This window comes from Homo sapiens, chromosome 12 (genome assembly GCF_000001405.40).
Source record: "Homo sapiens chromosome 12, GRCh38.p14 Primary Assembly".
Classification (NCBI taxonomy): domain Eukaryota; kingdom Metazoa; phylum Chordata; class Mammalia; order Primates; family Hominidae; genus Homo; species Homo sapiens.
This window is the reverse complement of record NC_000012.12, coordinates 98,662,402-98,689,044: the sequence shown is the minus strand read 5'-3', so window position 1 is coordinate 98,689,044 and position 26,643 is coordinate 98,662,402. Positions and strand designations below refer to the sequence as shown.

The 26,643-nt window shown below is 39.2% G+C and overlaps 1 protein-coding gene across 9 annotated transcripts in view, besides 1 other annotated feature; it reads right to left on the bottom strand.

The window, feature by feature from the left end:
- The window catches only part of APAF1 (apoptotic peptidase activating factor 1), a 90,144-nt gene that overhangs the window by 46,389 nt on the left and 17,112 nt on the right, over positions 1 to 26,643 (bottom strand). For 5 of the 9 annotated variants that reach the window (NM_181861.2, NM_181868.2, NM_013229.3 and 2 more), the window contains exons 6-16: positions 26,477 to 26,589; positions 26,239 to 26,370; positions 23,254 to 23,492; positions 22,688 to 22,855; positions 21,401 to 21,532; positions 17,959 to 18,072; positions 17,326 to 17,510; positions 11,494 to 11,620; positions 8,643 to 8,768; positions 5,771 to 5,902; positions 2,172 to 2,297 (exon numbers count right to left, since the gene is read on the bottom strand). In NM_181861.2, the coding sequence (NP_863651.1) occupies positions 2,172 to 2,297; positions 5,771 to 5,902; positions 8,643 to 8,768; positions 11,494 to 11,620; positions 17,326 to 17,510; positions 17,959 to 18,072; positions 21,401 to 21,532; positions 22,688 to 22,855; positions 23,254 to 23,492; positions 26,239 to 26,370; positions 26,477 to 26,589 (1,594 nt within the window). Of the gene's footprint in view, positions 1 to 2,171; positions 2,298 to 5,770; positions 5,903 to 8,642; positions 8,769 to 11,493; positions 11,621 to 17,325; positions 17,511 to 17,958; positions 18,073 to 21,400; positions 21,533 to 22,687; positions 22,856 to 23,253; positions 23,493 to 23,686; positions 23,995 to 26,238; positions 26,371 to 26,476; positions 26,590 to 26,643 lie in introns of those variants that run through there. The other 4 variants (XM_047428758.1, XM_047428760.1, XM_017019250.2 and 1 more) reach the window with 4 other exon arrangements.
- Positions 10,247 to 10,818: an enhancer, noted in NCBI's record as "H3K4me1 hESC enhancer chr12:99072005-99072576 (GRCh37/hg19 assembly coordinates)". NCBI's record gives its function as "activates a minimal SCP1, AML or CMV promoter by ChIP-STARR-seq in naive H9 embryonic stem cells {active_cell/tissue: H9 hESC(naive)}" and the evidence as "EXISTENCE:reporter gene assay evidence [ECO:0000049][PMID:30033119]".

Genomic DNA, 26,643 nt, shown 5'->3' with positions numbered 1-26,643 from the left:
CCAGGAGTTTCAGACCAGCCTGGGAAACATAGGCAAAACCCCATCTCTAATAAAAGTACAAAAAATTAGCTGGGCATGGTAGCAGGCACTTGCAGTCCCAGCTACTCAAGAGGCTGAGGTGGGAGGATCATCTAAGCCCAGGAGATAGACTGTGGTGGGCCAGGATCAGGCCACTGCACTCCAGCCTAGACAACAGAATAAGACCCTGTTTCAAAAAAAAGAAAGAAAGAAAGAAAAGAGAAGAGTAAAGAAAAAGAAAAGAAAAGAAAAAAGAAAAGAGTGGTAGGCTAGGCTTGGTGGCTCACGCCTATAATCCCAGCACTGGGATTGCTTGAGCCCAGGAGCTGGAGACAAGCATGGGCAACATAGTAAGATCCTATCTCTAAAAAAAAAAAAAAAAAAAAAATTTCGCCAGGTGTGATGGCACATGCTTGTGATTCCAGTTACTTGAGAGGCTGAAGTACGAGGACTGCTTGAGACCAGAAGTGAAGGCTGCAGTGAGCCATGATGGTACCACTGCACTCCAGCCTGAGTGAAAGAGTGAGACTCTGTCTCCAAAAAAAAAAAAAAAAAAGAAAGAAAACAGTGGTAGAAGGTTATTCTAGTATCTCTGAACTTAGATAAGAAGAGATGCAGAATGCATCTTAGATGGTTGCTATCAGGCATGAGCAGACAACAGCCTGAACTAGAGCAACTACTACAGAACAAGAGGGAAAAATGTAGACCAAGAGACAACAATGTCAAAGATGGGTTGATCTTAAGACCAAAGAAAGAAAGGACAGTCAATAAACAGGAGAGACAATAGAGACAGGAATAATAAAGTGGAATTGGGAATCTTATTGGAGAAGGTGGGGATTTGAGGAAGAATTATTTCATTTTTTTAGGCCTATAAATTTCAGAAGGCTGAATAAGCTTTTTTCCCTAACTCTTGCATTTTTCCTACCTTGTGGCTTCTCAAAAACAAGAAAGCAATAATATAAAAGGCAGAATGAATAAATTATAAGTAAAAACAGGTCCCCAGACTGGCCAACGTGGTGAAACTCCGTCTCTACTAAAAATACAAAAATTAGCCAGGCTTGGTGGCAGGCGCCTGTACTCCTATCTACTTGGGAGACTGGGGCACGAGAATCGCTTGAACCCAGGAGGCAGAGGCTGCAGTGAGCCAAGATCACACCATTGTACTCCAGCCTGGGCGACAGAGTGAGACTGTCTCAAAAACAAAAACAAAAACAAAAGCCAGATCCTTTACAAACCTGACCCATAGATCTTGCTGTGGTTTAAACGTGTCCCCCAAAGTTCATGTATTAAATACTTAATCCCTGATGCAAGTATTGAGAGATGGGACCTTCAAAAGTGATTAGGTCATGAGGGCGCTACCCTCATGAATGGATTAATGCTATTACCTAGGTTCCTGATAAATGGATAAGTTCAGCCGCCTCCTCACTCTCTCCCTTCTCTGCTGGTACCCTCTCCCCCAGAACTGTAAGAAATAAATCTCCATTCTTTATAAATTACTCACAATTTATAGAAGCACAACATAAATTATAGAAGCACAAAATAAACTAAAACAGATCTCAAAATATTTTATGAACATATGCTTGAAACAAAATGTACACTTAAAATTTAAGAATTCAAATTAAAAGAATAAAAATTCTACATTACAGAACTTTTTTTTTTTTTTTTGAGACGGAGTCTCACTCTGTCGCCCAGGCTGGAGTGGAGTGGCGTGATCTCAGCTCACTGCAACCTCCACCTCCCGGGTTCAAGCAATTCTCTGCCTCAGCCTCCCAAGTAGCTGGGATTACAGGCACTCACCACCACACCCAGCTAATTTTTGTATTTTTAGTAGAGACGGGGTTTCACCATCTTAGCCAGACTGGTCTTGAACTCCTGACCTTGTGATCCACCCACCTCGGCCTCCCAAAGTGCTGGGATTACAGGCGTGAGCCACCGCACCCAGCCTACATTATAGAACTTTAAGCATTAGGTTGTACACCATTCATAAACAATCATTACGATAAGCAATTACAGTTACATTAAATATGCTCCTGGAAATTGAAAGAAGCAGGCTCTTTCTGTAGAAATGTGAAAAAACAGAAACCTATTTCTATAATCAAATCATAAGACTTTCCATAAAATACAACCTATTTTAATAGTGTACAAAAGCATACCTTTAAGGTTCCATCAGCTGAACAACTAGCCAAAAGCTTATCATCTGGTGAAAATCTGCAGTGATTGACTGAATTTGTATGACCAAACATGGTATTTCGACATTCTTTTTGATTCAAATCCCAAAGCTATTTGTGAAAGAAAAAAAGATAAATAAACAACTAGTATTGAGTGGGGAAACATCAGAAATCATGTGAAGTTCTTCCTTTTCTCTCATTTAAGCTTTTTGATTACAGAATGATGTTTAATTCACAGTAACACAAACGTATCAAACACAAAAATGAACTTGTGATTAACAAGCAATGGGGCAGCCTTTAGATCAGCATGTAAATCGACTAAGGGACTCAAAGGCTCACCGAGGTTTTTAGGCTGAGTACTAAATAACTAACTAAACAATTACTACTTATTTCAACGGAGTGGTTTAGAATCATTATTATTTTACTCAGTTACAAAAAGCCACAATAAGTAATATGTAATATAAATTACCCCCATATTTTTTAAATGTCAGGTTATCCAACCCTAAAAATGGTGGAGCAAGTCAAGTACCACCTCTAGGAAGCAATTAACCAAATCCAAAATATGGCACATTCCATGGGACAAATGACTAAATTGCTCTAATAAATCAATGGTATAAGAAAGCAGTCAGAGGAAAAAGGGAACTTTAATAGAATAAAAGAGACTTAAGAGGCAGAACAAATGCTACATAAAGTTTGTTTGGATTCTGATTCCAACAAACATGATAGAAATGCATGTTTTGAGAATATGGAATAAGTGAACATGGACCAAGTATATTACAAAACTATATTTTATTATGTTAGGTGTGATAATAGTATGGTATGATAATAAACATAGTATTTATATTTAAGATCTCTGAGATGCATGCTTAAATATTTTGGGTGAAATGACATATTTAGGACTTGCTGTAAAATCCTCTATTCAGGCTGGACATGGCGGCTCACCCCTGTAATCCCAGCACTTTGGGAGGCTGAGGTGGGCGTATCACCTGAGGTCAGGAGTTCAAGACCAGCCTGACCACCATAGCAAAACCCCATCTCTACTAAAAACACAAAAAATTAGCTGGGAGTGGTGGCCCATGCCTGTAATCCCAGCTACTTGGGAGGCTGAGGCATAAGAATTGCTTGAACCCAGGAGGCAGAGGTTGCAATGAGCCAAGATCGCTCCACTGCACTCCAGCCTGGGTGATAGAGGAAGACTCTATTCAAAAAAGTGGAGGAGTTTATAAGCTGGGCGTGGTGGCTCACACCTGTAATCCTAGCACTTTGGGAGGCTGAGGCAGGCGATCACAAGATCAGGAGATTGAGACCATCCTGGCCAACATAATGAAAACCCATCTCTACTAAAATACAAAAAATTAGCCAGGCATGGTGGCACGGCACCTGTAGTCCCAGCTACTCAGGAGGCTGAGGCAGGGAAATCGCTTGAACCCGGGAGGCAGAGGTTGCAGTGAGCCAAGATCGTGCCACTGCACTCCAGCCTGGCGACAGAGCAAGATGCCATCTCAAAAAAAAAAAAAAGGGAGGGGTATTTATAAAATAAGATTGACAAAATACTGATAATTGTTGAAACTAAATGATGGATACCACAGGGGTTTATATTATATCTCCTCTCTTTGGGTAGGTTTGGAAAGTATAAAAAATGCAAATAAAAGGGATTATAGTCATCTCTGGTGATTTATGCTAATAAGATTAAACCCAGAAGAAGAAATCAATTATTGCTAAATGTTAGTTTTGGCAAAAATTATTTAGAAATGATTAGTAAGTGAGATATATACTGTTCCTCATGTCCACTTCTATCTTTGACTCCTTTATCCCAGTCCTAGATAAACTCAATTCTTCAGATAAAGCAAGTTACATGAAGGCAGCTTCACAATTACATATTTTCACTGGCTTCTCTCTGCTCAAGAATCACAAGAAATGCATCCTAATAGTCCTTATGGTAATATAGGTAGTATAGCACATCTTAAAGTAAACCTTGTCCTTAATTAAAATGGCTTACTAACCAATAACCCCCTCCCACATGGCAGAGGTTTTTTCCTGTATTTATTTCCTCAACCTACAAAATGCCAAAAGCAACATCAAAAATTAGTCGTAAATAGTATAACAGTCTTATTTTTTTTTAGTGGTACATTTATTCAAATAGGGCCAAGTTTTTTTGAGTAAAAGTGAACCATAACTGTGATATAATTTTATGTTACTACATTACTCTGTAATTTTGGTCCAATCCAGTGTTTTCAAATTGTGCTCTGCAGGGTCCTTGGGATTCTATAAACATAAATATGCCTAAAGAGCACTATGTGGTGCGGAGAGGTTAGAGATGAAAGGGAATGAGAGAGAATGAGAGGGGGGGTGGGGGGAGGAGGAGGGAGGAGGAGGAGGAGACAGAAGAAGAGAGGGAGGAGGAGAGAAAGGAAGGTCAAGAGGAAGGGAAGGTGACAGGAAGGGAAAGGGATAGAGGGAGAGAGAGAGAGGAGAGGGAAAGGGGGAGGAAGAGAGAGTCAAGAAGAAATGTAGGTCCCATTCAGCCAGAGCAGCAAGCTTTAACTCTTATACACACTGAGCTTCTGTATAATTTTTTCTTCTGAAAAAATAAATAAATAAATAAAAATTTAGCTTCCTGAACAGGGGGATGGAGACGGCAATTTTCAATAACTGTTTCAGTACTTTCTAAAGATAATTTTTCTAATAATTTATTTAAATGTCAAAACATAGAGTCTATGAAGTTTTCCAAACTGAAATGTCTTTTACTACCCCTCTCAAAAATATCATGTTCAATTGCAAAGATGGTATGGTATCAAGGAAGAAAGGTTTGAAATCAAACCAAAAAACAATTCAAAAAAAGTTAGCAGATCTTTCTGGGATTCCAGAAAAGGTAATCTAGCTATCTTTATCCACTTAAGAGGAAAAAAAGATACAATCAAACATTACAAAGCATATGTGGAATGAATTTCTGTTTTTGGTTATCTTTCCTACCAGCACCTTTTCTCCCTCCTCTCTGTGATAACAGAACTCTCTTTTGAATTAAGCTCTACTTACGATTCAAGTAGAGTTGACCTCACTCATTTGTCCCACTTCCATATAACTAAACTTGTGACCCTTGGACAATCCAAGGATTCCATCCTACTGTCCACTGGGGTTACCCTAGCTATGAGCATGTAAGCCAAAATGAGTCAAATAAAGGCTTCTCTAAAATTAGATCTATGGGTTCTAGGAGAGAGCACATTTCTCTTACTCTGTGATTGTGAGCTGTAAGGTAGCCACATTTTCTGCCACAGAAAGAGCATGCCTGAACCAACACAGAGGAAGTCAAGACTCTGGAGATGGAAAGGGAGGTAGAGCCTGAGAACACAGTTTAAGCATTTGGAGTCAGCTATGCCTGAAGCCATGCTCCCTCTAGACTTTTCAGTTACATGAGCCAATAAAATATTTTTAAGCTATTTTTTTTTTGCTTCAGCTAATATATTATTGTAGTTTCTATCATTGTGACCAGAAAGTCCTAATAGTAGTATACATAAGAAAATCAAAGGAGATACTCTGATGTACGAATCAAATTTATCTACCTAATTCTCAATATCCACACTTACTTTGAGGAAGCAGTCACTTGACCCAGTGGCTAAGAGAAGATGATGACTACTGTTGGTGAAATGGCAGCAATTGACTTGCTCTGAGTGCTCATCATAGGTGTGTACTAGTTCCCCAGTCATAGAATTCCAAATCTAAAGAGAAAAGAGAAAAAATTTACAAATATCCATTATTTTCAAAGGGAGAACAGAGGGGCAAAGCAATGTCCATTGCTTTGCAAATGCTATCTTATCCTGTCATAGCAGATTTTCCTAGTTGGACAAGATGCTAATGAAACCTCTCCCCTTTCTAAAATATGGCAATATTTTGCCTTAATGTTTAAAAAAAATTATTTGCAAATATACATATATGTACCTATAGCATAACTAGAGTGTCATGAACACATGACATTTCTTAAGGGCAAGATTTCACATGTTTATATGAATGAAAGCAGGCAGAGAAGTGCTTTAAAGAGGTTAGCATAATAGATTTCTGGTCAGAAGGGTTGAGCCCAAGAGCTGGCTCTACCACTTATGACTTGTGTGTCACAAATCCCTAACTTACCTGCATCTCAGTTCCCTCTTCTGTAAAATGGGGATATCTATACCTCTCCCACACAATTTAAGATATCAAATGAGATAATGAACATGACAAGTGTTCTATGGACTTCAAGGTACCATATAAATAAGTAAAGGCAGATTGCTTAGTTAAAAAAAATAAAGGTTTTATAGTCTGAGAGAAACCCAGCTTTCAACCCTATTACTGTTCCCAGTTTAATGTAAGCTTGAGCAAGAGACTTCATCTCTGAATCTGCGTCCTCTTCTGTAAACGGGATCGACACTTAACCCTGCAAGCTGTAGCAGGAAATTGATAATGTAATATGACAAAGTGTGTAGTATTTATAGCCTCTTATAGTGTTCAGTTTTCAGTAAAAAGTAATCATCAGGCCGGGCGCGGTGGCTCACGCCTGTAATCCCAGCACTTTGGGAGGCCGAGGCGGGCAGATCACGAGGTCAGGAGATCAACACCATCCTGGCTAACATGGTGAAACCCCGTCTCTACTAAAAATACAAAAAATTAGCCAGGCGCGGTGGCGGCCGCCTGTAGTCCCAGCTACTCGGGAGGCTGAGGCAGGAGAATGGCATGAACCCGGGAGTCGGAGCTTGCAGTGAGCCGAGATAGCGCCACTGCAGTTCAACCTGGGCGAAAGAGCGAGACTCCGTCTCAAAAAAAAAAAAAAAAAAACAAAAAAATTAATCATCATTCTAGTTACTATGTAAGACAACTAAGCAGTCTATGCCATATAACAACAAACAAAAGAAATAAATTACCTAATGAACCTTCACTGGGATTTTGACTTTTTAGAGGTACTAATGTCCTTTGGCATTTCCTTTGTATGTTATCAAAGCACTGATTAGAATCCCCAGAGGTCCAGAGAGTTTATCTTATTTTAAAGTTCTTTAATAGGTATTTCTACCTCTGGCTTAGAAAACAGAAACTCATTATTATTTCCTTTTACTCCATGTAGCTCTGACTTTAGAACTGCCCTCAGTGGCCACCTCCAAGTCTGACTCAGAGTCAGAGTAGACACTACAGAGTGAATTAACTGTTGGTTAAGCCACGAGTCCAATCTATCAAGAGGTAGATTTTTCCAAGGTCTCAAATTTAGTCTGGACATTCCATAGCCCTCTTCCAGTAGGTGAAAACTTCAGGAAAACACCCAAGGCAAATTTCTTGCCCACTCCACCTAGCTACATCCAGTACTCCAGATTTAACCCCTTTGAAAAAGGGTTAAAGTAAGGTCTGTCTTCCATATATCAGTGATAACCCCCACAAGCCTTCAGTTTCTCTTGAATTCTATATTAGTATAAATGCTCCTGGTAGAAGCCAAATTTAGGAACAAGAGAATACTTAACAAAAATAAAAATTACTCTCTGGCGGGGCACAGTGGCTCATGCCTATAATCTCAGCACTTTGGGAGTCAAAGGCAGGCGGATCACTTGAGGCCAGAAGTTCAATACCAGCCTGACCAACATGGCAAAACTCTGTCTCTACCAAAACTACAAAAATTAGCTGGGCATGGTGGTGCACACCTGTGATCTCAGCTACTCAAGAGGCTGAGGCATAAGAATCAATTGAATCCTGGAGGCAGAGATTGCAGTGAGCCGAGATTGTACCACTGCACTCCAGTCTGGGTGTCAGAGCAAGACTCTGCCTCAAAATAAATAAGTAAAAATTACTCTGTTTACTTTTCTCTATTTATGTTTTTAGACCAGTAACGTAATTATTAGTTTGTTCATCCACCTGGTTTTCCACTGAATATATAAGCCAGTTCATAAGCAAATTAAAAAAATTGGGGTTGCATTTTAAAATTGTATCTTACAACAGGAATCCCCAAGTTTGTGCAGCAACACTCCTAATCACAATGCACTCAAAGATTTCAACTGATATTTAACCCATGGACTTGTCTATTAATGGAAGACAAACTCACTAATTTGTCATTGCTTTTCCCCACTGCTTGTTTAATCCTGAGGTGATCAACCTAGGCATTTTTGCTGGTGTTTAAAAATAAAGAATTTTCAGGCCACGCACAGTGGCTCATACCTATAATCCTAACACTTTGGAAGGCTGTGGCAGGAGGATCACTTGAGCCCAGGAATTGGAGTTTACAGTGAGCTATGATCATGCCACTGCCCTCCAGCCTGGGTCACAGAGCAAAATCCTGTCTCTTTAAAAAAAAGTAAAGAATTTTCAGATAGTGTTAATTTACAATGAATCAGGTTAGTAGATCAACAGGTGAGAGTCCTTTAACTCTACTTACTCTGGTCTCATGATCATGGAAAAATAAAATGAATTCTGTTGTGATTACAACTCAAGAGGAAAAGATTTTCCTACCTTCACTTTTTTATCCACTGAGCAGGTTGCTATAAATCTGTCATCTGTAGAGAATGCACAACAAAGCACTTCATCCTCATGAGCCTTGATTTCTAGAAGTTTCTCTCCTGTTTCAGCTTTGAACACCTGCACAAGTAACAATAAAATATTTTTTATAATAAACTGCTTAACTACTGGTCATCATTCAATAAAAATCTTTAAGTGAGTTTAATCATTGTCATTTTGCAAAACAGAAAGGAACCTTGGCAAAGCTACTCCCAAAATCAGAATTTCTGTCAGAATGTGTATGCCTTCACATAACTAGAGAACTATTCACTGTTACATGTTTGTAAATATCAATGAAAATGTTACAGGATCTTTGGGGTGTTGATTTTCTGGCCAGAAACTTCTGTGGCCGGTGGCGCCTTTGCCCAAGTTTTGCTTGGGCCCACTGGTCTTGTTTCACCCACTTGGCCTGACAGGCTGCATTCAGCTCACACTACCAGCCTGGGTCCCAAGCCTGCCAAGGGCGAGTCAGGCGTGGAACAGCGAGGCGTGTGTGAGTGAGCGTGGGGTCCAGCCACTGCGCACAGACGTGCTGACTGCTGCAGCGGGGCAGGCAGCTCCAGGTGCCAGCATGGGCTCTGGCTCTCTGTGAGGCTGTGGCTGGACCAGGCACACCACAAGCAGCTTACACGCTGGCACCGGGGAACACGGTGGTGCCCAGAAGCTTGGAGATGCCAGGAACCGCGGGGCCCCAAAGAGGGAGTCACAGCCCTAGCTTGGGGAGCTCCCAAGTCTGGGCTCCCCGAAGGGCCGCAGCTTTTCTTTACTTATCTTCACTTGCAATGCGGCAAGCAAGGGGCATGTCTCAGCCCTGTTTGTGTTACAGCTCTTTTAGCCTCACCATTCAGTGGGATCCCAAGTTCTTGTCCTACAACCAGGAAGAATGTGGTACGCTGACAGGTGGAAGGTGAGCAAGACAAACAGGAGCTTTATTGAGCGATAAAATAGCTCAATAAACCTGCGGGGGGCAGCTCCTTTCCACAGCTCAGGAGAGGGTAGCTCCTCTCTGCTAGGCAAGTCCTCCTGACAAGTGTTCAGCTATCAGCAGAGAGGGTAGCTCCTCTCTGCAGCTGGTCCTCCTGTCATCTGCACAGCTCTCAGCAAAGAGGGGGCACTAGAGTGGGTTGCTCCTCTCTGCAGCTGGTTGTCCCAGTGTCTGCTCAGCACTGGCTAAGCCCGAGGCTTTTATGGGCTTCAGAAGGGAGGAAGTACATGCCAACTGGTCCATGGGCAGACATGGGCAAGCCTGGAAAAGGCACTATAAGTTCCCACTCCAGTCCATTCAGTCCACACCAGCAGCCCAGCCCCCAGTCTTCAGGCCCTTTGTGGCCTGAAGGTGGGGCCTCATTGGTGACCCGCCCCCTTCCACCCAGGAACCTGTCTGCCTCCTGCTGCCATGAATGGCACCCAGGCTGTAGGTGCCAAGGGGAGCCTGCAGGCCAGTATCAAACTGCCCTCAGCACCCCCTTGGCTTCCCTCCTATGCTCATCAGCACCCAAAGTCCGGAGGGGGCCGAGGCGGCAGGGGGCTGGCATGTCAGCACTGCCCCAAGCATGTGCACATCTGGCCGGGCTGCAACAGCACCCAGGCTCAGCCCCAGCTTTGCTCTAAGATCAGAGTGGGTGCCAACAGTAGGGAGAAGTCAGGCAGCGGGAGCAGGCACTTCCAAGCCTACAAGGGCAGGGGGTCCTTCCAGGTCCCCCAAGAGTACAGGGATGCCTGAGTCTGCAGCCACCGCTTGGGCAGCTACAGCTGCACCAGGGGGAAGGGGTCCTGCCTGCTCTGTGGAGCCGGAGGCCCGAGCCTGCAGCTGTGGTTTGGGCGGCTACAGCTACACCCAGGAGGGCAGGGCTCTGGCCTGCTCCATGGAGCGGGTTCCCAGGTCCACAGCTGTGGCTTGGGCGGCTACAGCAGGAACCAGGAGCTCCTGCCCCAATTCAGAAGGGGTAGGGTTCCTGCTTGTCCCCAGCTACCGCCAGCTCCACAGAGCATGCAGCCCCAGCTGCGCCTCCCTGCTGCAGCCAGCATGATGGCAGCAGCCACTCCAGGCAGCCCGCCGCTGCCATCAAAAAGAAGTGTCAGAGCACAGCTTCAGCTCTTGAGACTATTTTGGCAAATTCTTAACAATCAAATAAAACATTTCATTTAATATGCATTCTCTCTGGAACTCAAAAGCCAAGATTAATAAAATTAGTAATAAAGTACACATATAGACATAAGCTATGGAGTCATAATCTTGCAAAGACTAAAAGTATCCTAAATACAAGTTTTAACTAATTTCATCATGTTCTCTGCAAAATCAAAAGGCAGAACACAAACATAAAGAAAAGTACTCATTAATATTTTCTGAAAACAAAGGGAATCTTAAAGGAAATTCTTTAAAACAACTTAGGAAATAGTCTAGTCCAGTTCCTATTTACAAGAAAAAAACCTATGCCTAAGACTTTGATAAAATAGGTATTTTCCTAATCACTGTTTTTTAATCACAGCCCTATTCCCTGTGCTATGAAGCCCTACGTCTTCTAACAATTATTTCCTCACTACCCTTAGCTGACAAATGGATGGCTGGGAACTGACTGGCAGGGTAAAGGGCACTTCCTTACCACCTGTAAGTTTAGAATTAGGAAAACATGTAACTGTATCTTTTAAATCTCTAGAGAAACCTTTAATAAAATGTTCAAGAGAGCTGGATTCCTCTGTTATTTCTAAGTTGCAATTTTCTTGAATTTTAGGATTTAAACATATTCTGATCTGCACAAAACTGGATACATGCCTCTTTGCATTTTTCTCAAGAGATGTGTTTTACCTGTAAGGTTTTATCAGCTCCACAAGAAGCTATTCTCTGACCATCCTCAGAAAAGCAGGCATGGTAAACAGCATCTGTGTGGGGGCGGACAACTAAGCGGGAAAGATTCGTGATGTTTTTTTTGTTTCTAAATACAGGGAAAAAATGAACAGAAATTAAATAAATGAGAGTAAAAGTAACTATTTTCTTTCAGTACTAAAATAAACTGTCTTTTAACATGGTTATGTTCCCCAAAATACAAAATTCTTAAAATCAGATTACTAACATGCAAATGACAGCACAGATCACCAAAAGAAAAAAAATAACAAAAGTAGCATTTGTAAGAGAAATGTTACCCTTTATCAAGCAACCTGTCACGTGTTACAAATGTCACTGAGTTGGAAGAAATCTAATTAATCAAATTAATCAAATCTAGTTAATCAACATGTCACTTTCCATTTTCCTTTGATACATTAATAATGATACATGTGCAGATAAATCATTATATAAGGATACCTTCAAAAATTCTCCATCTCTTTTTTAAAATAAAAATCATAGCAAAATGCTCATTTCCTAACTGAAGGAAACACCCACCATTATTATGATGTACTTTAAAGCTGCTCTTCTCAGCCAGGCGCAGTGGCTCATGCCTGTAATCCTAGCACTTTGGGAGGCCAAGGTGGGTGGATCACCTGAGGTCAGGAGTTCAAGACCAGCCTGGCCAACATGGCGAAACACCGTCTCTACTAAAGATAAAAATTAGCTGGGTGTGGTGGCACGTGCCTGTAATCCCAGCTACTTGGGAGGCTGAGGCAGGAGAATCGCTTGAACCTGGGAGATGGAGGTTGCAGTGAGCCAAGATCGCGCCACTGCACTCCAGCCTGGGCGACAGAGCAAGACTCCATTTCAAAAAAAAAAAAAACTGCTTCTCTCAAACTACAATTATTCAGACATACCAAAAAGATAAAGCAACATCATATTCTTTGTATCTCAATCTAATGAATATCAACTATTCCACCAGTATAGATATTATATTACTGCTCATAGTATCTAAAGTATAAAGGGGCCAGGCATGGTGGTTCACACCTGTAATCCCAGGACTTTGGGAGGACGAGGCGGGCAGATCACTTGAGGTCAGGAGTTCGAGATGAGCTTGGCCAACATGGTGAAACCCCATCTCTACTAAAAATACAAAAATTAGCAGGCATGGTGGCACACACCTGTAATCCTAGCTACTCGGGAGGCTGAGGCATGAGAATCGCTTGAACCCTGGAGGTGGAGGTTGCAGTGAGCCAAGATCATACCACTGCACTCCAGCCTGGGTGACTGAGGGTCTGTTTCTAAATAAATAAATAAATAATAAGGTGTAAAGGAATGTAATGTATACTTAAACCAGAAAAAACTATTAGTGCAGTGACAGAATTTCATATACGTTACATCCCTGTCACTTTGAGTACAAGTAAATATGTCAAATAGTATTGTGCTTATTTTAGAAATCAAGGGTTGGCAGTCAGACAAACCTAACCTCATTTCTAATACTTATTAGGTGTGTAAATGAGCAAATTACTTAACCTAACAAGTTTTTATTTCTTCATATGTCAAATGGAAGTAATGGTATCTATTCTAAACAGCACCCGACACATAAAGGTGCCACTACTATCATTCTTCAAAAAACTTAACCACACACAAGACAGATCAAGTGATAAAAGTGAACACAAAGGTAAATCATATTTAGATCCTGCCTACAAAGTATTACACTTTAGTAGAAGTGATAAAACAAACAAGTACAGTTGTTCCTCAGTATTGATGAGGGATTGGTTCTAGGACCCACTACAGATACCAAAATCCATGGATGCTCAAGTCTCTTACATAAAATGGTATAGGATTTGCATGTAACCCACCACATCCTCCTGTATACCCTAAATCATCTATAGATTACTCAAAATACCTAGTACAATGTAAATGCTATGTAAACAGTTGTAATACCATCGTGTTTAGGAAATAATAACAAGAAAAGAGTCTGTACATGTTCAATACAAACATAACCATCTACTTCTTTTCTAATATTTTCAATCCAGGTTGGTTGAATCTATGGATATAGAACCACGGATATGGAGGGTCGACTGTATAATATAAGAACTAGAGTGATGACAACTAGAAGAACAGATAAGTTCTAGCAAAGTTAAGAGGATTAGATTTTAAAATGTTCTTTATGTCTGCTTGATCTATCTACTCAATTCCTCAAAGCTCAGAAAGTGACTTTCATAATAAAGGATATATAGTAGATGGCCCAAAAGTACTAGACAAATAACAAATGAATGAGTGAATAAATAATTTCATTGAAAACAGAAACTCAATTAAATTTAAGCTTATACCAACCTAAACCTTTCTATAGTAAACACCAAAAAAGTTTCTAGTACTTAAATAAAGCATTCTTTGAATATGGACTGGTCAAACACAATTTAAAAATAAGCTATAAATAGCTAACCATTCTATGAGAGAACATCACAAGGAGAAATGCAGTTGATGCAATGGGAGAAAACAGGAAGAAACTCAACAATTCATAAGAGAACAAGAACTAAACCTATGCCCTTTGATCAGACCAAGTATTAAGATTCTATTTCAGCCACTAACTGAAACATGAGTTCATTCAATCTTCCATAAATTTATACTGAATACAGACCAGAAAAATGCTAAATGCTATTCTTAATAACAACTAATATTTATTGAGCACTTTCTATGAACTGGGTGCTGTTCTAAGTACTATATGTATGTCTATACGTTTATATACATATATACACTAATTTAATCCTCACAACAATGCTATAAAATACTACCATTAGGCAAAGGAAGTTAAATAACTTTCCCCTTATGATACACAACTAATCAATAGCAGAGCTGGGATTCAAACCCAGGCAGTCTAGAGCCAGGGTATGTTATTTTAACCTCCAAACTATTCTATACTTCAGAACACATGGACTAGTATGAGAGAAAACCAAGTAAACAGATAATCACTATAAAGTGTGACAAATCCTATGATATGGGGCAAACAGTTCTCTCGAATACAGACAGATCTAATCTAGCTTCAGTAAGTTAGGGGGCTGCTTCTCAGAGAGAGAGAGAGAGAGAGAGACCTCCACTTCACAAGAAAGTATTAAGGAATGGTCAACTCTGGAAAGTGGGAAGGTAGGAGGGAAATGGCTAGTCTTTGACTTTTCATCTTACATCCTATTACTATTGTTTTTTGTCTTAATCAGGAATGTATTATTTAAAATAAAACCTGCTGGGTGTGGTGGCTCATGCCTGTAATCCAAGAACTTTGGGAAGTCAAGGAAGGAGGATCAATTGTGTCCAGGAATTTGAGATCAGCTTGGGCAACATAGTGAGACCTTATCTCTACAAAAAAATAAAAAATTAGGCATGGTAATATGTGCCTGTAGTCTCAGCTACTCAGGAGGTTGAAGCAGGAGGGTTGCTTGAGCCCAAGAGGTCAAGGCTACAGTGAGCAGTGATCATACCACTGCACTCAACCTAAATGACAAAGTGAGGTCCTGTCTCAAAATAAATAAATAAATAAAACCAACAAAAATTAAACATTTTAACTTAAAAAAAAAATTTTAATTCTCTCAGATACCATTCTCTCCTTCATGGAACCCTCCCTTGAATTCCTCATTTTTCCAAGCCAAATACTTATCAGTTCTATCTCTACTTATACATAGTTCTGTTGTTATACTCATTGCATTATATTGTAATTATTTGCCTAAACTCCTTTCTTCACTACGAGATTTTGAACTCCTTAGGGGAAAGACCTCACATCTAGTAACAGTGCTTAGCACAGTAGAGAAACTCAAATGCTAGTGCTTAGCACAGTACAGAAACTCAAACGCTTCTTGAACTAAACTGAATCAAGAAAATCACCTACAGTAGTCTGACTTATTTGGAAAGAGGGCCTAATGCCATAAAGATCACAGATACCAACCTGGACTTCTATTTAGATATAAATTATACATATGAAAAGAGAGCCACTCATATTTATTATTTCAAGCTGTAAGGGAAGCATGACATATGGAAAGAGCATGCAAAATAAAGCCAGGCAGACCCAAGGTTTTTTTTTTGTTTTTTTTTTTTTTGTTTTTTGAGACAGAGCTTCACTTTGTTGCCCAGGCTGGAGTGCAGTGGCACAATCTCGGCTCACTGCAGTCTCTGCCTCCCAGGTTCAAACAATTCACCACATCCAGCTAATTTTTGTATTTTTAGTAAAGATGGGTTTCACCATGTTGACCAGGCTGGTCTCAAACTCCTGACCTCAGGTGATCCGCCCGCCTCGGCCTCCCAAATTGCTGGGATTCCAGGCATGAGCCACCATGCCCAGCCACAAGATCCAAGGTTTAAATCCCATTCAGCAAGTCACATGAACTTAGCCAAGTCCAAATCTTTCTGTGCCTCAATTTTCTCATTTGTATAATCAGAGGTCAATTTTAGGTACTTACATTTTTATAAGGTAAATAAAATTTAGGCCGGGTGCAGTGGCTCACGCCTGTAATCCCAACACTTTGGGAGGCTGAGGCGGGTGGATCACCTGAGGTCTGGAGTTCGAGACCAGCCTGACCAACATGGAGAAACCCTGTCTCTACTAAAAAAAAATACAAAATCGGCCAGGCGTGGTGGCATATGCCTGTAATTCCAGCTACTCGGGAGGCTGAGGCAGGAGAATGGCTTGAACCCAGGAGGAGGAGGTTGCCGTGAGCGGAGATCGTGCCATTGCACTCCAGCCTGGGCGACAAGAGTGAAACGCCGTCTCAAAAAAAATAAAATAAAATAAAATAAAAATAAAATTTACCTTATAAACTTGTTTTGAAGATTAAATAGAATAACTTGATTATGTAGCATTATAACAGGCATTAAAAAGATGGTATTAATAGCTATCCTTTCCTTTTTATAAGGAAAGGTAAGATTATACCTTTCCTTACAAGATTAAGGTAAGAGCAAAAGAGACTCCTTTAAGAGACAGAATAATCAGGGTTCAGTGGTCATTTAATAAGGACTATATGTGCAAAGGAAAGTGCAAATTACTTTACAGCCATTATCTCATTTACATCTTCACAGAAGGCCAGGCGTGGTGGCTCATGCCTGTAGTCCCAGCACTTTGGGAGGCCGAGGCATGCAGCTCACTTGAAATCAGGAGTTTGAGACCAGCCTGGCCAACATGACGAAACCCCATCTCCATTAAAAATATAAAAACTAGACAGGCATGGTGGTGGGCGCCTATAATCCCAGCTACTTTGGAGGCTGAGGCAGGAGAATCGTTTGAATCCGGGAGGCAGAGGTTGCAGTGAGCCAAGATCACACCACTGCACTCCAGCCTTGGCAACATAGTGAGACTCTGTCTCAAAAATAAATAAATAAATAAATAAATAAAATCTTCATGGAAACAGCACTTATTTCAAAGGATTGTTATCTCCATTTTACATATGAGAGAAAAACCTGTAACTTGTTCAAAGTCACAGAATTATTAGGTTTTAGAACTGAGGCTCAAACCCAGTTCTGTGGCTCCAAAGTCCATGCTCCTCACCACTATACTAAATTACAGTAAGTCAAGCACTTAGTACTGAATACTTAGGATAATTTGTCCAAATGCCTTACAGGCATCTATTTATATGGATTCTTTGAAAATACAATCATTTTCTCCTATGCTTACTTCTCTAGAACTTTTCAATAAGTAAGAATGCTTATTAAAAGTTCCAGCCCTTTCGAAAGTAGTTAAATCCTCCTGGAGTGATCGTATTCACCACCTGAAAAATAATGATATAGTTAGCGCACCACTCCCTTTGGTTTCTCTCCTAACCTACTTACATCCATTCCAGGTAAAGCATTCCATTATCGACCTCCTGCTTGGCCTGCAGCTTAGCTTGCTGATAAACTTCTGAAGTTTCCGGCTCACAGAGACCCAGTTGTACAATATTAGGAAATGGCTGTCGTCCAAGAAGGTGTCCATTTAAAGATAAAAACTCCTGAAAATTCTCACTGACTGCACAATCCTACAAATAAACTGAAATCTCTTAGAAACACAATCAGAGCCACGATCTGACATTTTTCCATTTCTGTGATCTTGCCACTTTAAAAGCTTAAATGAAATATTCTTTATATGAACTAAAATTGAACAGCCAACCATTAAGTAACAAATATATAGTAATCCTCTTCTGACTTTTAAACATAGGGTAAAAATCTCATTATCAAACACATTTCTTAATACATTCTTTTTTTAAAAAAACCACTGAACATCTTATTTTCCTAGCTTTTAAACTTCAATCCTACCTACTTTCCCAGTAGGGTAGGAAGCAAATTAATTAGAATAACCAAAAATCAAAGGAGGGAAATTATCTTCACCCCTTCTATTCTGCTCATTCCCATCATTAAATCTAGAATTAAATGTAAAAAAAAATGAGATTCCTTTTTAGCACTAATTTTTCATGTTAATATATATACCTTTTCATCTAGTATATGTCTGTATTCCACAAATTCATGAATCAGATGAGCAGGGCCTACAAGTTCTGTTTTTGCTTTAATCCAATCCAGGGAAAACATTAAAGCACAAAGTTCCTTTAAAAAACAAAAAGTAGTATCAGCAGCACTGTTAGAGATCAAAAAATTTTAGGTATAACATCATTAACCTCACACTGCTAAGAGAAACAGTAAATATCTAGAATTTAAAGGATGCAAAAGCTAGTGAGAAAGAACACATCCATAGTTCCAAAGAAACATAAAATGGGCCTCATACTTCAGCTCCAAATAAACTCCAGTTGGTTAAAAATTTAAATAGAAAATAGAAAACATTTAAAAATACTAGAAAATAAAAATAAATATTTTTGTAAGCTTGTAGTGAAGGAAATCTTTGTAAACATGACCCCAAAGCAAAATATCAAACAAAAAGAAAAACTGCACTTAACTATATAAAAGTGTATTTAACTACATAAAAATTCAAATCTTCAATACAGTAGAAAGCAATATAAATTAAACTCAAGACCAAAGAAGTTTTAAAAAAATACTTATTTGTAACACATATGATAGATCAGGGCTTCAATCCTTATTTTTATAGAAAATTATTTTTTATAGAAAATTCTAATAAAACAGTAAGAAAAAGAAAAACACGTCAAGAGAAAAAATAGGTAAAGGAGGTAAAAGCAAACAAAGGATGGGAGCCACAATTCACAAAACAAAAAGCACAGATGGCCAAAATCTCACCGGTAATCAAAGGAGAACAAGAAAAATTTACCATTTTTAAAGTATCAGATTTCTGAAGACTAAAGGAGTAACAAGAATATTAGCTGGGGCTGAGCACAGTGGCTCACACCTGTAATCCCAGCACTTTGAGAGGCTGAAGAGGGTGGATTACTCGAGCCCAGGGGTCAAGATCAGCCTGGGCAACACAGTGAAACCTCAACTCTACAAAACATACAAAAATTAGCCGGGTGTGGTGGTGCACACCCGTGCTCCCAGCTACTCAGGAGGCTGAGGTGGAAGGATCACCTGAGCCCAGGAAGTGGCGGTTGCAGTGATTTCAGCTGAAATCATGCCACTATACTCCAGCCTGGGCAACAGAGTGACATCCTGGTGAGATCCTGTCAAAGAAAGGGCAAGGGCAGGAAGAGGGGAGGGCAGGAAGAGGGGAGGGCAGGAAGAGGGGAGGGGAGGGGAAGGGAGGGAGGAGAGGAGAGGAGGTGATTAGCTAGAATCAGAGGAAATGAACACTTTCAACCACTGTTGGTAGGCATGTAAAACAGGGTACCCTTCTGGAGAGCAGTCTGGCAATCTGTATTAAAATTTAAACTGCACATACTATTTGACCCAGAAATTCCACTTATAAAAAAGTATCCTAAGAAAATAACCAGATGAATATGCTTAAACAATCTAATTGTCCATCAACCAACTGGCCATTCATAATGTAGCTATACAATGAAATAATATGCAGCTTTAAAAATCATGTCACTCTATATAAATGACATGAAAAGATGACCATTCAATGTAATTAAATGGTAAAAAGCAATATATGAGACTATTTCTATTATGATCCCATTTGGTTTTAAGAGACAAGTATGTTTATAGAAGCAGCAAAATGATCTAGAAAACTATACACAAGAGCATTAGTAATGGTTGTGATCTCTGTTTTCCTTTTCATCGTTTTTTTCTGTTTTTCCAATGAAAATCAACCATTACCTTTAAAGTCAGAAAAAAGGCTAAAGAGAAACTGAATCCTGCCACACTATCATACATGTCAAAAGCTTTAAAAAGATGCATTGGCTCAGTAATTCTACTTCTCGGAATTTGCCAAGGAAACAACATAGGTACAAAGATAAACAAGAATGCTCATTACATCATAAGGACCAAAAAAACTGAAAACCTAAATGTTCGATAACTAGAGTTTGGTTAAGTAAATTAGGGCACAAGTATTTATTGGAATACCATCATTCCAATATACACTATTAAATGTAAATATATTTTGCTAGATAAAAAAACAAACTACAACAATTTACTATGTATCATAACCAAGAAATAACATACCTGAGCATAGAAAATTTACTGAAAGTACATATGGTTTTCCAAATGTAAACATTTTTAGTAGCTACTTGGTAGTCATGACTTCAATCAAATACCATCTATGTGCTAATAATTCCTTATTTTCATCTTTCATCTATAATTCTCCCCAGAATTCTAGACTCATATATCTAACTGCCTATTCAATATTTCCAGCCAGATGCCTTAATAGGTATATCAGACTTAATATATCCAAAATGAGTTCTTAACCATCCCCATTCTCTGCAGGAAAAAGCTTGTTCTCCCAAAGACCCCTGTTTCAGTTCATGGACTCCGTTCTTTCCACTGGGGTTTGAGTCATCTTTGATTCTTGGAGTCATCTTTGATTCTTCTCTTTCTCGTATAATGCATACCAAACCCATAAGCAAATCATGATGATTCTACCCCTCTATCATCACTTTCTTTCCCCTTCCATGCTCTGTCCTTCTTCTGAGCACTTAACTACCCACTGAAATATAATAAATTTGTTTAATGTCTGCCTCCTCCCAGAACATAAACTCGTGAGAGCAATGACTTTGTGCCTGTGCTTTATCCTCTTAATGAAGAGCAATATACATAACAAGCACTCAATAAATATTTATTGAATCAATGAATATACTTTTCCACTATCCATTTCCTCTCAAAGCTTACAAAACAAATCCATACTGCCCAAAAAGGAAAGCTACTAGTAAGAAGAGGATTAATTCTGAGGTGGTTCATTTACTAGTTACTAAGGTACCTTTTCTAATCACTACAGGTAAAAACAAAAATAATTATGCAAGCTATAATCCCATTTTTACTAATAAAAAATTATACTAATAAAACAATACATGTTTATGAACAGGACAGCAAAGCAAAATACCAAACAACGACGACAACAACAGTGGTAAATTTAACTACATAAAAATTCAAATCTTCAGCCAGCCGCGGTGGCTCATGCCTGTACTCCTAACACTTTGGGAGGCTGAAGCGAGTGGATCACTTGAGCTCACGTCAAGCTCAGGAGTTTGAGACCAGCCTGAGCAACATAGTGAAACCCCATCTCCACCAAAAATACAAAAATATTAGCCAGGCATGGTGGCATGTGCCTATAGTCCCAGCTACATGGGGGGCTGAAGTGGGAGGATCACTTGAGCCCAGGAGGTGAGGGTGTAATGAGCTGAGATTGTGCCACTGCACTCCAGCCTGAGAAACAAAGTGAGACCCTGTCTCAAAAAAAAAAAAAAAAAAAAAAAATCAAATGGAAAGCAATATGAACAAAATTCAAGACAAAAAATAACAGAAAAAAAGCACTTATTTGTAATACATATGGAAAAAGGGAAGTCAGATAAAAGAATTTTTAAATGGGTCATCTTACCTTGTGCATCTTGGCACTGGCCATGTGATAGGCCAGAAAGTTGTACCAATACATACAGTCTTCCTGATCTGGTGAAAGAGTATGCGGCTGGTGATATCTCTGAAACTGAGTGATTATCTTCTTATGTAGATCCTGCAACCCAATGAAACGTTTCAGAAGCCAGAAACAATTTTATAACCTAAGCATCACAGTAACTTCAGCTTCCAAAGCTATTAAGAATGTACAGAGAGGCCGGGCTCGGTGGCTCACGCCTGTAATCCCAGCACTTTGGGAGGCCAAGGTAGGAGGATCACTTGAGGCCAGGACTTCGAGACTAGCCTGGGCAACATAGAGAGATATCCGTATATTTAATTTTTTTACAAAAAATAAAAAATAAAAAAAATCAGTCAGGTGTGGTGGCATATGCCTGCAGACCCAACTACTCGGGAATTAGCTACTCAGGACCAACCGAGCCCAGGAGTTTAAGATTGCAGTGAGCCACTGCATGCCAGCCTGGGCAACACAGTAAGACCCTGTCTCAAAAAAAAAAAAATACATATATATATACAGAGAATCTCCCCACAAAATAATGACTTTACAGTGCAGAAACCTGGCAGATACCACTTTAAACAAATTATCAACATTAACATCACCCATAATAAAACATATCAACACCAGGAGTCTGGGAATAGTGGCTCATACCTACAATCTCAGCACTTTGGGAGGCCAAGACAGGTGGATCACTTGAGCCCAGGAGTTCAAGAACAGCCTGGGCAACATGGCAAAACACTATCTCTACAAAAAATTTTTTAAAAACCACCAAGTACTCTCAGCCTATGACGCCACTGAGAAAGATACAACATCATTGGTATTCTTGCCAAATATCTATAACTTCAATCTAGTCAGGAAAAACATCACACAAAACCAAATTTGGGTATACTGTACAAAATTACTAGCCAGTACTCTTCAAAGGTGACAAGGCCATGAAAGATAAAGACTGATAAATTTTCACAGATTTGAGGAGACGGAAAAAAATGACAAGTAGGGAAACAAGACAATCATATGCAATACGGGATCCTAAATTGGCCTGGACTACAAAAAGAACACGTAGGTTAGTGAACAGTATTGTATCAATGTTAATTTTCTGGCTTTAACAACTGTACTATGGTTATATAAAATGTTAATATTAGGGGAAGCTAGGTGAAGGACTTATGCACAGAAACTATCTACTATTTTGTAAATTTTCAATAAATCTAAAATTATTTCAAAGGAAAAAGGAAAAAAAAAAGTAAACCAAGATGCAAGTACCTGAAGCTGGCTGCAATTCTTCTCTGTAAGAAAATCTACTTGAAGATCATGTAAATAATAACGAAACGACTTTCCATTCCGATCACAGAATAAAAGAGACTTATTTACAAACTCCTGCAGTATGTCTTCAACTTCTTCAGTTTCCATGTCCCAGAGAATACATAACACCTAGGAATTGTTGTAAGTATTTAATATGCCACAAAAGTACAATGACCAGGACTGTAGACAGGTATTATCACACACACAAAAAAACGGTATCTTAAAGCCCTGAGTAAGAATGTCTCCATTTCTTAAGAAGAAACTCAGCTACTCCTCAAGATAGAAAAGAGAAAGAGAAGTCAGATGCTTCTTCAGCTGCACTAGAACCACAGAAATAGGTTAACTCCTGAGTTCAACACAAAGCCCTTAATGGAAGCTAACAGCAGAGGGATTTCTACACCCAACACCCCACCACCTCAGTCCCCTGGGTCTTATCCTTCCAAGGTTCTCTGTAACAACATGCTCAGTACTATATCAAAGCTTACATGCAATAAATACCCAATGATGAGGATCATTGATCCCATTACCTTTGTAGGCACCTTAACGTCCTTCTGAAGGATGGAAAGATCTGTGTAATAATCTTTGATGTCTTCTCTGAGCATTTCAACACTTATAGACATGGCTTCATCTAGAGCCTCATAATCATAAGACGAAGATTTCCTTATTCTCTTAAACTGCTTATTCTGAAGCTGTTTGAGGTAGTACTCCCAGCGATTGGGAAAATCACGTAAAAGTGCACCAATTAAAGATACTACAAGGGGAGAGCCTTTAAAAAAAAAATGAAGTCACTATGCTAATACCATCCTATTTTGTCACTAATAAGAATCGACTTACTTACTTACATTACTAAGAAACAATTTCTGCTGCATGTTATCAAAAGCCTTAAGTATTTATCACTCTTGACTTCACTTCTAGATATTTATCCCAAAAAAAATTAGAAATAAGAAAGATTTCATTCAGTAAGTTCCTGATTATCTTTATTAAGTCAAAATAACATAGATCAAATCTGGCTAAGATGTCATTACAAAAAAAAAAAAAAATATATATATATATATATATATATGCGCCAGTCTAAGCAATATAATGAGACCTTGTCTCTACTAAAAATAAAAATTAGAAAAATCAGCCAGGTGTGGTGGTGTGTGCCTATAGTGCCGGCTACTTAGGAGGCTGAGGTGGGAGGATTGCTTCAGCCCAGGAGGTTGAGGCTACGGTGAGCCATGACAGCACCACTGCATCCTAGCCTGAGGAACAGTGTGAGACTCTGTCTTAAAGAAAAAGAAAAGAATGATTAAGTTTAAGGATATTCATCACAGCACACTTAGAATAGTGAAAAAATCTTAAACAACGTAAACAATGTCCAATAATACAGAAGTGGTTGAATAAATTAAGATATATCAATATTATGCCACTGGTAAATTTTTTTCAAAAAAATATTTAACAACATGGGAAAATGCTCAAGATATAGAAAAAGGGTAAGATCCAGCTGGGTGTGGCGACATGTGTCTGTAGTCCTAGCACTTCAGGAGGCTGAGGTGGGAGGATTGCTTGAGGGCAGAAGTTTGAGACCTGCCTGGGCAACATAGTGAGACCCTGTCCCTACAAAAAAATTTAAAAATTACCCAGGTGTGGTGGTGGGTATCTGCAGTCCCAGCTATTCAGGAGGCTGGGGCAGGAGGATTGCTTAAGCCAAGACATTCAAGCCTGCAGTGAGCTGTGATCTTACTGCACTCCAGCCTGGGTGACAGAGCAAGACCCTGGCTCTTTAAAAAAAAAAGGGCAAAATCCAAAACCACATATACATAATCTCAACTTTTTAAATCTTTGTTCTAAAAGACTGGAGGCAATACTCTCATGATGCTAATAATTATCAGGTTATGGATAATTTCTATTTTTTTTTTAGTTTCACACATTTTCAAAATGGACATGCATCACCCTTTGTAATAACTACAAATTAAGCATTTTTTCTAAGTGTAAGATTTCTTTAAAAATTAACAAAACTGGCCACGTGTGGTGGCTCACGCCTGTAATCCCAGCACTTTGGGTGGCTGAGGCAGGTGGATCACGAGGTCAGGAGTTCAAGACTACCCTGGCCAAGATGATGAAACCCCATCTCTACTAAAACTACAAAAATTAGCTGGGTGAGGTAGCACGCACCTGTAATCCCAGCTACTAGGGGGCTGAGGCAGGAGGATCACTTGAACCTGGGCAGCAGAGGTTGCAGTGAGCAGAGGTCGCACCACTGCACTCCAGCCTGGGCGACAGAGTGAGACTCGTCTCAAAAAATAAATAAAATAAATAAATAAATAAATAAACAAACAAAACTGTGTGTCTATTTGATGGCAGAATGAAAAATAAGGTGGCCAGGTATGGTAGCTCATGCCTATAATCCCAGCACTTTGGGAGGCTGAGGCGGGCAATCACCTGAGGTCAGGAGTTCGAGACCAGCCTGACCAACATGGCGAAACCCCGTCTCTACTGAAAATACAAAAATTAGCTAGGCATGGTGGAACATGCCTGTAGTCCCAGATACTCGAGAGGCTGAGGCAGAAGAACTGCTTGAACCTGGGAGGCAGAAGTTGCAGTGAGCCGAGATCACGCCACTGCACTCCAGCCTGGACGACAGAGTGAGACTTGTCTCAAAAGAGAAAAAAAAAGAAAAAGAAGAAAAATAAGGTATTTCCAAGCATAACAATAATGAAAGAAATAATTTTAAGAGTTGATAGATTTGACTGTTTAAAATTTTAAGCTTCTATATGTCAAAAGAATACAACAAATAAAAGGTACACAAAAAACTGGGTAACAGGCTGGACATGGTGACTCATGCCTGTAGTCCCAGTGCTTTAGGAGGCTAAGGCAGGAGGATCATTTGAGGCAAGTAGTTCAAGACCAGCCTGGGCAACACAGCGAGATTCTATATATAAATTTTAAGTTAAAAAATTGTTTTACTGGGAAATAATACTTGTAAAAATATGACAAAGAGCTAATAGTTTCTATTTTTTGAGTATTTAGAAATAAATTAAAAATACTTATATCAAAAAAGAAAAGTGAGTCAAGGATAATTTCTTAAAGTCAAGGATAACTTCTTAAAACGTATTCAATAAACAAGTAAAAAGTTTAACTTCGCTAAAAAAAAATGCAAATTAAGACACCAGTTTTTACTTACCAAATTAGAACACTATTTTTATAAAATCCCAAGCAAAAACAAGTTTTAAAATCTGATTCTCACTCTATTTTTAACTCTAACAGCAGAGGTCACATCTGTGTCTCACTTCTCTCACTAATGTGGTCTCTAACACACTGTGGGTAGATGGTAAATATTATTTTAATGAATAAATAAATACCATAATATCATGTATCCATTTAAGATATCAGAGAACCTAAAATACTAAATCTCCCAGAAAAGTTTTTGGATGTTCATGTGCTAAATTACCATATTCATTAGCTCAATTAACAAAAGGGAAATTATATAACTCCCTATAATCTCCTCATAAACAAATAAATAACCATACCTTTACATTCTTTTATAATACTATGAGCTTGTTCTGGCAAATCTGCCTTCTTCATATTAACAAAAAGGGATAAAATTTCAAGTCCTTTTTCCTTTCCTAAGGAACTCTCCACAGGGACTACATATTTAGGACCTGCAAACAAAAATCACAAGACAAAGTAAGTAATTTGGTATGTCACATATTTAAATGTAATTAAATTAAATATAAAGGTACTAAAAAGTAAACGAATAATCCTTACCCATTACTGAATCTGTAACACTCTTGTCTCTGGTTGTAAGAAGAATCTGACACTGACTGTCAAAAGCTTTCAACACCCAAGAGTCCCAAACATCATCCAAGATCAAGAGAGACCTAATTTAAAAAAAAAATATTAATCACTAATGACACTTATCTTAAGCTTCCTTT